Genomic DNA, 12,361 nt, shown 5'->3' with positions numbered 1-12,361 from the left:
TTAAATGGTATATACTTTTAAACTCCCCAGTGCATGAAATTAGCTTCATTCAGTGGCTCATCTTCAAACAGGAAAGAATTATAATGAGAAAGTTTAATTAATCTAAAATGTGTATGATAAATACCTATTCAGACACCAATCATTCAATCTGTATATTCTTCCCTCTGTTTTAAAAAGAAGGAGCCATATTTACATGGGGAACATGGCCAGTCGGAGATTCCTGTTTAGGCTGAGGATGTTATCCATATCGTGCTGTGTTAATTCAAAATCAAACACCTGGAACCAAAACACAATGTTTGTAGAAAACTTAGTTTAATTCACATTTAATGGAGCACATGTTACCTACATAGCACAGTGCTAGACCTGCAAGGGACACAAAGATGTAAAACAAACACTTCATCAGACACTTGGAACTTCCCTGAATCACAGCCTGGATTCCCCAAATGCCCTTTGATTTTGATCATGTGACTGGTGTTGGCTTGGCCTTGGCTACATTTAGGAAGCCTTGGACAGATGGAAATATATACTGCACTCATCTTAGTGGAATAAAGGACATATGGGAATTGTTAAAAGTTATAGCGGCTGGGCGCGGTGGTTCACGCCTGTAATCCCAGCACTTTGGGAGGCCAAGATGGGCAGACCACGAGGTCAGGAGTTTGAGACCAGCCTGGCCAATATGGTGAAACCCCATCTCTACTAAAAATTTAAAAATTAGCCGGACATGGTGGCATATGCCTCTAGTCCCAGCTATTCAGGAGGCTGAGGCAGGAGAACCGCTTGAACCCAGGAGGTGGAGGTTGCAGTGAGCCGAGATCGCACCACTGCACTCCAGCTTGGATGACAGAGTGAGACTCCATCTCAAAAAAAAAAAAAAGGATGGCACAGAATTTTTCCCACTGACTCTGCTACCCCTCAAAACCCCAACAAAACAATTTGTTCCATACACCTGCCAACTAGGGACCCACTTGGCCCTGGGACTATGAACTCTAACAGTACCCATATCACAGAGTACATTTTCTGAGTGATCCATTTTTCTTCCTTGAAAATAGTATTCTTCTCAGCCCTTCCCTCCCCTTTTGTTGTCCCCACACACTGAGGAACAGGACCCATGGCCACAGCATCAGCATCCACCCCGGCCTGGCAGAGTGGCTGTCTTGCGGCGGGAGGAGGGGTGCACTGAGTGATTCCAATGCAAGGACCTGGAGCACCCCAGGCTCTTCCCCACAAGAGCCTTCCCCTCCTGAGGGCAGGAGAAAGTAGCCTCAGCGTGTCATCTGGAGGTAGTGGGGAGTGCTGGGGCCGGGGTAGGCGGATTCTTGGGTTTAAGGGGAACAGCAAGCAGTTCTAGAAGACTCCTTATAAAGGGTAGGCAGCCTTGCAGCAGCAGTTCTGAGCGGCACTGGGGCCACAGGGGGCGGGCCGGGGCAGCCCCCTGCACTGGATGCCTTTCTCCTCCCTGGTGAGTCTTGTGGACCTGGCTCCCACCTCCTCCTGACAGCATAAGCACTTCCTCCGGCCCCTCCTAACCCGCCGCTGCTGTCTGTCCTCAGCCATCAGATCACTTCGGCTTTGGCCCTCAGGTCTCACGTCAGCCTGGTCCTGTCTCACTGCCTGAGGATGGCATTTCCCCTCAGTGTGTAGCAGACCTAACAGAGGAATGGGGGCATCTCAGCTGGGCCCAAGGTCCCCGTGTCACATTCACTTTTGCTAGGCCATGGGGATCCCGGGCATTGAGAGCCACGACGGCAGAAGGGCAGAACTGGGGCGATGTGGCCCCCTGCCACCTGCTGAGCTGCTCACTCGGTGGCTCCTCCCATGGGAGGGTCAGATAATCTTCCCCAGCCTATGTCCTCCCAGGGGCAATCCTAGCTGCCCTGCAGGGCACAGAGGGCACCTTAGGCCAGGCCCCCATTGAGGGGTGACAGCATGCTGGCAGCCCCCATTGAGGGGTGACAGCATGCTGGCAGCCCTCACAACCCTCACTAGCTCTCCGGGCCTCCTCTGCCTGGGCTCCCACTTTGGCGGCACTTGAGGAGCCCTTCAGCCCACCGTTGCACTGTGGGAGCCCCTTCCTGGGCTGGCCGAGGCCGGAGTCGGCTCCCTCAGCTTGCGGGGAGGTGTGGAGGGAGAGACGCCGGTGGGAATCGGGGCTGCGCGTGGTGCTTGCAGGCCAGCACGAATTCCGGGTGGGTGTGGGCTTGGTGGGCCCGGCACTCGGAGCGGCTGGCAAGCCCTGCTGGCCCTGGGCAATGAGGGGCTTAGCACTCGGGCCAGCGGCTGAGGAGGGCGTGCTAGGTCCCCCAGCAGTGCTGGCCCACCGGCGCTGCGCTCCATTTCTCGCCAGGCCTTAGCTGCCTCCCCGCAGGGCAGGGCTCGGGACCTGCAGCCCGCCATGCCTGAGCCTCCCCTGACCCTCCGTGGGCTCCTCTGCAGCAGGAGCCTCCCCAACGAGCACCGCCCCCTGCTCCATGGCACCAGGTCCCATAGACCACCCAAGGGCTGAGGAGTGCCGGCACACCGCCCGGGACTGGCAGGCGCCTTCACCTGCGGCCCCGTGCGGGATCCACTGGGTGAAGCCAGCTAGGCTCCTGACTGGTGGGGACTTGGAAAACCTTTATGTCTAGCTAGGGGATTGTAAATACACCAATCGGCACTCTGTATCTAGCTCACGGTTTGTAAACACACCAATCAGCACCCTGTGTCTAGCTCACGGTTTGTGAATGCACCAATCGACACTCTGTATCTAGCTACTCTGGTGGGGACTTGGAGAACCTTTGTGTTGACACTCTGTATCTAGCTAATCTAGTGGGGATGTGGAGAACCTTTGTGTCTAGCTCAGGGATTGTAAATGCACCAATCAGCACCCTGTCAAAACAGACCACTCGGCTCTCTGTAAAATGGACCAATCAGCAGGATGTGGGTGGGGCCAGATAAGAGAATAAAAGCAGGCTGCCCAAGCCAGCACTGGCAACCCACTCCCGTCCCCTTCCACACTGCGGAAGCTTTGTTGTTTCGGTCTTTGCAATAGATCTTGCTGCTGCTCACTCTTTGGGTCCACACTGCCTTTATGAGCTGTAACACTCACCGCAAAGGTCTGCAGCATCACTCCTGAAGCCAATAAGACCACGAACCCACCGGGAGGAACGAACAACTCCAGACGCGCCACCTTAAGAGCTGTAACACTCACCGCAAAGGTCCTCACCTTCACTCCTAAGCCAGTGAGACCATGAACCCACCAGAAGGAAGAAACTCCGAACACATCCGAACATCAGAAGGAACAAACTCCGGACACACCACCTTTAAGAACTGTAACACTCACCGCAAGGGTCCGCGGCTTCATTCCTGAAGTCAGTGAGACCAAGAACCCACCAATTCCGGACACACCATGTGGAGCAGATGCCGGTCAGTCAGCAGTGCTCAATTCTAACCACTACAAGAGACCTGCAGTCTCGTTCCAAGAGGCCCGTCAGCAGCCATTGGAGAGAACTGAGTTTACAGTTTAGCCAAATCCATACCTTTCAGGCTTAAGGTTGGCTGGTCACCCAGAGCTGCTCTGGGCCATTCAAAGAGCAGGACGCCTGAGAAAGGAGAGGAGAAGGGCATGCGGGCAGCAGGTGAGCTGGACAAGGGCCCGGCAGGGAGAGTGCTGTAGACACCATGAGGAACCTGCCCATCCCCTGGTCCTCCCATCGTGGGTGGCCTGCCTCTCCTGCCAATGGCAGGGCTATGCCCACCTGCAGCCAGCTTGGCATGCACAGCAAGCCTGAGGGCACAGGCACTGTTACAGATGGGTCAATAAACCCCAATGGCGATGCTTGCTTGGCACAACCAAACCGAGCCCTCAGGATGCAGCAGTGCCTTGTGGAGCTCATGGGCAGCTCAGACACCAAGAGGGAGCATACTCCTGGGCACATGCTGTCTATGAAAATGCAGCTGTGCAGCTGGCCCCAGGATCACACACACCTATGCTGACATGATCAATGGGTGTGGGCTGCCACCAATGCCTGTCGTTGCCTGTGAGATCATCACAGGTGACATCCGTGACTGAGGGTGACTGGCAGCTAAGAGCATCAGGTACTTCCATACGCCAGGCACTATGCTATCCCTTCACTGTATCATTACATTTCACCCTCAGTGATCCTATCAGAAGGGTGCTCTACTGAAGAAACAAAGGCTGAGAGAGGTCATGCAGCAGTTAAATCGTGAGTGAGACTGTGGGAATCCCAAGTCCATGGCCCTGACTGGGTTACAGACTATGTCGTCAGGGTTGAAGCCACACAGAGTTCCTTCACATAGCTCCAAAAATAGATTTCACACACTTCACACACTTCTGTGGTTCTTGGCTTAGGTGAAAAGATTGCCCTGAAAAGGACCGCTGCCTCTCTGTGTTCTGCACACGCTCCACCTGTTCCAGTCTTCACTCCTGCCTCTCAGAAGTCACTAGACAGGAGTCAGGACCAGAATCTTCCCACACAACTCAAAGCAGTGCCCTCAGGCCACGTGGGCATGCCTCCATGCGACAGAGGTGGTGACCTGTCCACCAACTGCCTCCCCTTTCTCCTGAGTGCACGCTTAGGAGACATCCAGCCTCCCCTGTGGGCGAGCGCAGCCATGTGACTGGTGCACATGCTCCAGCCTGGCCCACACAAATCATCCCAACAAGATGCTCTTCCCTCCTTCCTAATCTTGGGCTGGATGGAGAAGACACCAACACCCTAGGGGAGAAAGGGCCCTAAGATGGAAGGAGCCTGGGTCCTTTGATCGCTGAGGGAAGGTCAACCACCAACACCCACAGTGCAGAGGGAGAAGCCCCTGTTGCATCAAGCTCCGCAACCCTGAGGCTGTATGCTACAGCAGTCATCCCTTCCCATCTAACACATGATCTGAAACCCGCCAAATAAAAGAAGGAATACACCTACCTGGATATTCTCTTTAATGTGACTTGGGGTGATAGATCCGGGGATCACTATCACATTCCTCTGGATTTGAAATCGGATCAAAATCTGCAAGGAAACAAAAAGTCTACTATCACACAAAGGGAAATCCCATGTAGTCTAAGTTATTTTCTAACATGTGAGTTTTATCATGCAGTAAGAGTCCAAGAATCAATGACAGCAGCTATTGTTACTGGCATTCACTGAGCAGCTCTGTCAATATGTTGGTAATGACAGCCATCAGCCCAAGGAGGAGATCAGAGAATCTGCTTAATGAGAATTCCTTAACATGCGCCCAGCCCCCCACTGGACATTAGAACAAAGAAGACTAGAATAAATAACTTTTCTGTACCATCTCATACTAACCATGCATGCAGTTGGTGGGGCAGAGGGAGAAGGCCTGGAAACTCCTCCTCTGAGTCTAGACAGGCTCGGAGGCAAGAGTACATGGCTTGAGTGACTAGAAATGCGGCTGCAGACCAAATTCTGCTTGACGCTGGGAGGTTCTAATGAGTCATGGACTCACCTGGGTGAGCCAGTCCCTTCCTGGGACCTGCCAAGCCCCAGGACTCCCCAAGGATGTAGAGCGGTCAGAGAACCCCACCTGGCTCAGAACAGCCCTCCCTCCCTACCTGAGCAGGAGACTTGCCGTGCTCCTTTGCAATCCTCTTGATCACAGGGTTGTCTATCAGGTCAACCCCCTCACTAGAGAGACACAGTACAGGGGAGTGAGCCAGGAGATCCAACATGGATGCCCCTTTCTTTAGAAAGAAGAAATCTTTGTCCAAAATGAAAGATTTATTTTCTGATCATGACACATGCCGACTACAGGAAATTTTAAAATGCAGAAAAGCACATCGCCCCACATTTCCAGTATGGAGATAACCACTGCTAACACTTTGGTGAACAAGGCTACACGACATCACTTTTCATGTGTATTTGGTGTTTCTCCTCAAAAACCAGGTGGCCATGTCAGCGCATGCAGCCAGTGGGCTCTCAAGCTTTGACTCCCCCGACTCTCAGGGCTCTCTGACTTCTCAGCTTCTACTGTACACCCTGGCACAGCACAGCGAATCGATATTTGTTGATGATGATACTTTCAGAAAAGTTCGCCCAAAATACTACTAAAAAGTGAATATTGTGAACACGTGGAACCTTTAAAAGTGGTTTTGAAGATGGTCATAGAGTCCCTGTGCATCCTCTGCTCAGGCACGGGTGGGCCCTGAGAACTCTGAGGATTCAGTTTTTTAACGAGTGTGTACTGAGCCATCACCCTGTTTCAGGCATTGTGCTAGTATCGTCCTCGAGGTCTCCTGAAGGAACCAAACAGAGTGCCCAGTTGCCCACCCCAGTCAGTCTGAGAGCTCCCTGACTCACTCCATCAGAGGATCCGCTACCCCAAAGCTCAGCTGTGGAATGGACCCAGCCTTCTAGAGACTCTCCAGCTGGTTCCAAGTTCAAACACACATGCCCCACTTCACAAGGAAAACACACAGGTGATAAAACTCAAGTAATTTCAGCCTTTTCGGGGTTCCCAATGTTTCCCAGGTGCTGAGCTAGAAGCTGGGAAGAGAAGAATAAATAAGATACCTGCACTCTGGTTGCTTTGACTAGTGGAAGGGACTGAGAAGAAAATCACAAGACAGTGTGACAAGGGCTGTGTAAGAAACATAAATAAGGGGTCAGGAGGGCTTCCTGGAGAAGATGATGCTGGACTGAACCTTAAATTAGAAACTGGAGTTTGCCAGATTTAAAAAAAAAAGATTTGTGGGTAAAGAGAACAGTATTTGCAAAGGCACAGAGGTGAGAAAACATGTTCTATCCAAGGACCCCACAGCAGCTTCATGTGGCTGAAGCCCAGGATGTTCACAGGGATGGGAAGGAATGAGGCCAGAGGCAGGCAGAGGTCAGGCTGGCTGCATCTCACAGGCCACACCAAGACCTGAAGAATTTTTCCCAGGAAAGTGATAGGATCATAGGAAAGGAAAGAGACAGCTCCTTTCAGCTCCCACTGGGAGCAATGGATTGGAATGGAGTGGGCCAGGGAGGGAGCTGAGGGGCTCCTCTAATGACCTCGGGAATGCTACTTAACTAAGGCAGTGACAGTGATGGCAGAAATGAAATCATGAAACAAAGTCCAACTTCTCCTGGCAGAATAATCAATAGATTTTGGTGCTGGATTGGACTCGGGATGTGGGAAGGGATGATTTCCAAGCTTCTGGCTTAGGTGGCTGAATGGCTGGAGGTCTCTTAGCTGATCTTGGGAGCACAGTACAGCTGCAGGAGGGCCTGGGTAAAGATGACAGCAGGCTTTGCCTCATCCAACCATGGAGAGGCCTGGGGAGCATCCTTGTCAGGAGGTCAGAAGGGGGCTGACACCCTGGTGGGGAACTCAGCAAAGGGGTCACTCCAGGCTGATTTACGTCCCTGAAGAGGTCCTGACCCTCCCAGGGCAGCCCACTCACAGCCACTCCCTGGCTTCCAATAATAAACCATGCCTTCAATCCCAGGCTTGAGAGGTGTGGACAGCCCCCTATAGTACCATCCCTCCACACCCTGTCAAAACCTCCATTAAGCCCTCCCTCAGTCATCCCAAGGAAATGAGAAGGTGGCATCTACTTCCCAGTCGGACTCTGACTAACACACCACTGAGGTATCCTTACCACGAGCCACCAAGAGGACGGTAAGCAGTCACGGACACATCTCTGGATTGGCAAAAACTGATCAGATTCTTCTGAGTAAGATATGGGTGGCACTCAATCTATAACAGAATCATAGCTTACATAAAATTCAGACCACTAGTGTTCAAGAAAAGCTCTACAAGAGAAGACCTGCGTCAAAGTCTTGGCTGTCACCGAGTAGCCATGGGGCCCAGCTCCAGGCCTAAGTGTTTCTGTTGTGAGGAGTCTGGACAGAGCAATCTCCAAGAGGCCAGCAGGTGTCATGGTCTCTGAGTCCACGGCCTTGGGGACACCTACATCATCTGAATGTTCCAATACCACCTGCTCTGCAGGGCCTTCCCTGAGCACTCAGATAAAGATTGTTAACACACCATAGCTCTCATCTCCCCCGGCCTTTATTTTCCTCTACAGCATCTATCACTATCTGACATCTCATAGATTTTACATATTTGCTCACTGTCTTTCTGTGTCACCAAGATCTAAGCCTCATGAAGATAGAGATTTTTGTTTGAATTTGTTTTGTTCATAGATGTCTCACCAACACTAAGAACAATCTAGACATGTAGGAAGTGCTAAAAATATATCCACTGAATGAATGAATGAAATTGAGGAACTACATGTGACAAATACATTCTACAGGTGACTTGAATGAAAATTTTAAGAAGCTAGAGAGCAGGATCTCTGTCTCTTGCACATTCTCCAAACTCTCACATATAATTCCAGGTTATAAGGAGATTTAAAATAAATAGTTATTTAGTGTAAATTACAGAGAACTATGAATAGTGCGTTTGCTCTCAGGAACATGCCAAGCTCATCAAGATCAGCCTGTTTGGAAAGCCTCCAAAAGAGAGGCCAGCCCTTCTGGAGCCTTCCGCATCCTGTGTTCCTGGTGTCCATCAACCTAACAGAAAGCAGACCCTCCACCCCACTTTGTCTACTCAGACTATGCCATAATCATTCCCAGGTATTTAAAGTGCTGAACAACTAAAAATACTGACACAAAACGGAAGCTACTATCCATATAAACATATATCAAAACTTATATATATAGGGTTGTATACAAGGCAAAGCTGAACTACATGAGAAGCTGGGTCAGAAGCCAGGTTGCTCTTCATGGTGGTGGCTACAACAGGACCCAGGGGAGCTACTGAATGGCTGAGGGCTTTTTTCTTGTTCTGGGTGCTGAATACTTGAGTTTGTTCACTTGCAAAAATTCATCAAGCTATGTATGCCTTTTATGATTCACACACTTTTCTGCATCTACTCCATACAGAACTTTTTTAAAAAGCATATTTATTCAAAAAAATAGAACATGATGCTCTATTCTTAATAGTCCCAAACTGGAAACTGTCTAAGTGCCCATTAACAGCAGAATGGATAACTCAATTGTGGTTAATTCACAAAACAGAATACCACAAGAAATAAGAGAGCACTATCTACAATCACATGTACAGAAACACAGTGCTGTGTGAAAGAGGCGAGCACAGAGGGGTTTATGTTGCATTATTATTTTATTTTACCTGTGTAAAGTTCAGACGTGAATCCCAGCTGCTGGGAATGGGAATGATGCTGTGCTCGGCAGGGGTTACAGGGGCACTGGACGTGCTGTTTACTGAGCTGGATGCTAGTCCCAGAGCTATGCTCAGTTTATGAGAATTTATACAGTTCCATTTTCACATGTGCACTTCTACTCTTCAATAAAAAGCTTAAGTACTGTATAAATGATCTTTGAACATACAAAGCTAGTCTAGAAAATACAATAGTTATTTCCCCACAAGTCTTTTCTCTGCATTAAAAAAACGAAGTGCCTGCATCACCTTCAGCAGCCTGTGAGCCTCGCGTGAAGCCATCTAGTCATCCACTCTTTCTTGCTGCAGTCTGCAGGCTGGGAAGAGGTAGAGGGGAGGCCCATGTTCCTGGATAAGGGTGAGGCACCTGCCAGGACCCTGACTGCTTCTGAGTACACCTGGTGACCTGCCTGCACTGCACATGGAGGGCCAAGCACCAGCTCATGCCCTGCCTGCCAACAGTACCATCTACCCAGATGCACCTTCAAGAAAGCCACTTGCCTAGCTGCTGCCTTTAATCACCATTCTGAGTGCTGCCAGAGGAGAACAGGCCTGTTTTGTGCTTCACCCATTCTTCCATTTCCAGAAGAGCCCTGTGGAGGTGGCAGCTGGGGGACCAGCCACACAGGTTAAACTCTCTGATGCTTCCATCGGCTTACCTGGTTGGTTAGTGGCTTGAACCTCAACCCAGGCTTATTCAAAAGCCTCTCAAGCTGTTCATGGTTGAAGTTTGACACCCCGATGTTCTTCACCAGCCCGGTGATCACCAGGTCCTCCATGGCCTATAAGAGAACGACTCTGCTGGGTGTGAAGCTTCTGTCTACTGCACTGACAATCTACGTCCCTCAGCAGTTCTGTATGGTATTCTAAAACTGGTTGGACCCAATATTTTTACAATATTTTACTTGAAGCTTCAAAAGCATTTCTGCACTCAAGGTCTGATTTCAGTCCCATCTTTTCTGGCTAGAGGATGCTGGGCAAGTTGCATGGCCTCACTTGGCCCCAATTTTCTCAGCTTCAGGACAGGTCTACATGGCCTGTGCCACGGGGATGTTTAGGGGTTATGTGGAATCACAGGAAGTGTCAGCTAAGGCTGGCGTCCAGTACTCGACACATGTGAGCTCTTCTTGTTCCTATTCCTCCTGATGTCTGGCAAGCATGTCTGCTGCGGATTTTATTTGTTCACCTTTCTTTCCACTGAGACACTGACCTTCTTAAGCACACGGATACATCACCATTCTCCTATCCCACCTTCTCCACTTACTATTTTAAGACACTTTAGGGCAGAGCAACCTAAAGCTCTGAGCTGGTCACTGACCAGCAAGCCAGGCTGCCCCTGAGCTTCAGGAAGAGCATAGCTTCGTGCCAGGGTCCGTAGTCAGCAGCAAGTCCTGAGTGACCAATGGGCCAACACGCAGCAGTTAGTTACTGCCTCAACTCTGCAACAATCACCGGAACCTCGCTGGTGCTACATGAGCACCCTAGAGTTTAACCCAAATCTTTTAGGACCTAAAACATTGTGACAGAAAGAGTTGAGGCCCATGGGCCCTGGTCCTGACATCTCAGATACCTTAGGTCAGTCTTTGTCTTCTATTGATGGGGGGAGCCTAGCCTGGGACTCCTCCCTGTCCGAGGGTTCCCTCTGGCCTCCTCCCTGGAGAGCTTCACCCAGCAAGCTCTGTCCTAACCTCAGCAAGCTTAAGCTTAAGCTTACTTTCTTCTTGGGCCTCAAATGTGATGTCCCATCCCACATGATGGTTAGCAAGACTGTAAGACCACACGTGCTCGGTCAGCCATGCTGGAGCCCAAGCCTGAGACCCACCCCAGCCTGTGGGTCAACTTCCAGGAACCTCTCAAATCCACCACCCCCTTAATTTCCTGCTCAAGTCTTTACTGCAAGCCCCTGCAGTAAAGGGCTGTTTTTGGTCTGAACCCTGGAAATGGGCTGACACTTGGTAACCTTCCCCGACACTGGTCTCACCTCCCCAGCCTGAGCTTCCATGCTGCCAACTTTATCATTCTGAAATGCTTGAGAGAAAAAGGAACTATAAAACATTAACAGTGGTTACTGCTGGGTGCCAGGAAAATAAAATTTTTAATGTTAGTTTAATGCAGAAGAACTCTCCTGTATTTTCTGAAATAAATATGGTTTTTAATAAAAAAATAAATAAATATTTGAGAAAAAAAGTGAGGTCTATAATGAGCTACCCCTCAAATGTGTCAAGAGAACTGCACCATACCAAACCAAAGGTAACAAGAAAGTCACTGAGGTCTCTGAGTTCTTCGGGTATTGATTCCTTTTTTGCTCCACAAACCCCACATCTCAGGTAGACAACCTTGATGTCTTTGAACACAAGCAGCTCAGGGCTCACTGCATCCTGGGTGGAGACCCACACAGGATGAGGCTGCCTGGTGGTGTGGCTCAGCTCACCTCCCACGTGTCCAGGAAGTCCGTGTCACTGGGAATAACCATGTTGCTCTCGTCCAGAGGCAAGTCCTGCACTCGAGGATGTGAGAGGCAGAAGGAAAGTTCACTGCAGCTCATGATCCATTCTGGATGAGGAGGCTGCGAAGAAGGAGAGTTGAGATGTGTGAAAACAAAACAAAACAAAACAAAAAAAACCATGTGTCAGGAGACCTGCATCCAAGCCACAGCCCTGTCACTAAGCAACCCCAGCCTGGCCATGTGACCAGGCCCAGTCTTCACCTTTCTAAGAAAAGATGAATGGCTGGTGGACTGGATGGCTGGCAAAGCCTCTGCCAGCCTGATGTTCACTGTTCATCTCTCACAAGATGGGAAAGGAAGACCCTGTATCCTTACTGATGCAAGGTTGTCCTCTCCCATTGCCTCCAGAAAATAGTTTACTAATTTCGGGTAAAGAATGGGTGAGGAGTGCATTTTCTTCATGTCTTATAGAGCCCAATCAACCCTCTCCTAACTCCACTGTTAGGGTCTTGTCTTCTTTCTTAGAATCCCCATCATGATGACAGGTAAGGAAGTGAGAATACAAAGGTACACAGGAGGTAGAGGGCAGAGAGATACATCTTGAAAGGGCAAGAACCTAAAGTCATCTTTCAGAGAAGCACTGACGTGCAATCCAGCTACCTCCCTCATGTACTCCCACGTAGCATGTTAAGGGTGAATGGCATAGGCATGTTTATTTAATGACACCTAATC

General features: G+C 50.0%; 1 protein-coding gene across 19 annotated transcripts in view; it reads right to left on the bottom strand.

Annotated features, from left to right (window-relative positions):
- Positions 1 to 12,361, bottom strand: part of AKR1E2 (aldo-keto reductase family 1 member E2) — a 48,265-nt gene that overhangs the window by 25,814 nt on the left and 10,090 nt on the right. For 4 of the 19 annotated variants that reach the window (XR_001747220.2, XM_011519715.3, NM_001040177.3 and 1 more), the window contains 6 exons: positions 11,615 to 11,749; positions 9,843 to 9,965; positions 7,598 to 7,695; positions 5,567 to 5,639; positions 4,920 to 5,003; positions 194 to 276 (listed from right to left, as the gene is read on the bottom strand). Coding sequence is in view for 8 of the 19 variants with exons in the window: in XM_011519715.3 (XP_011518017.2) it covers positions 194 to 276; positions 4,920 to 5,003; positions 5,567 to 5,639; positions 7,598 to 7,695; positions 9,843 to 9,965; positions 11,615 to 11,749 (596 nt within the window). In the remaining 11 variants the exon portion in view is untranslated. Of the gene's footprint in view, positions 1 to 124; positions 277 to 1,527; positions 3,579 to 4,916; positions 5,004 to 5,566; positions 5,640 to 7,597; positions 7,696 to 9,842; positions 9,966 to 11,614; positions 11,750 to 12,361 lie in introns of those variants that run through there. The other 15 variants (XR_930518.3, NR_073126.1, NR_073125.2 and 12 more) reach the window with 11 other exon arrangements.

Source organism: Homo sapiens, chromosome 10 (assembly GCF_000001405.40).
Source record: "Homo sapiens chromosome 10, GRCh38.p14 Primary Assembly".
In the NCBI taxonomy this organism is placed as follows: domain Eukaryota; kingdom Metazoa; phylum Chordata; class Mammalia; order Primates; family Hominidae; genus Homo; species Homo sapiens.
This window is presented reverse-complemented; position numbering and strand designations above follow the sequence as displayed.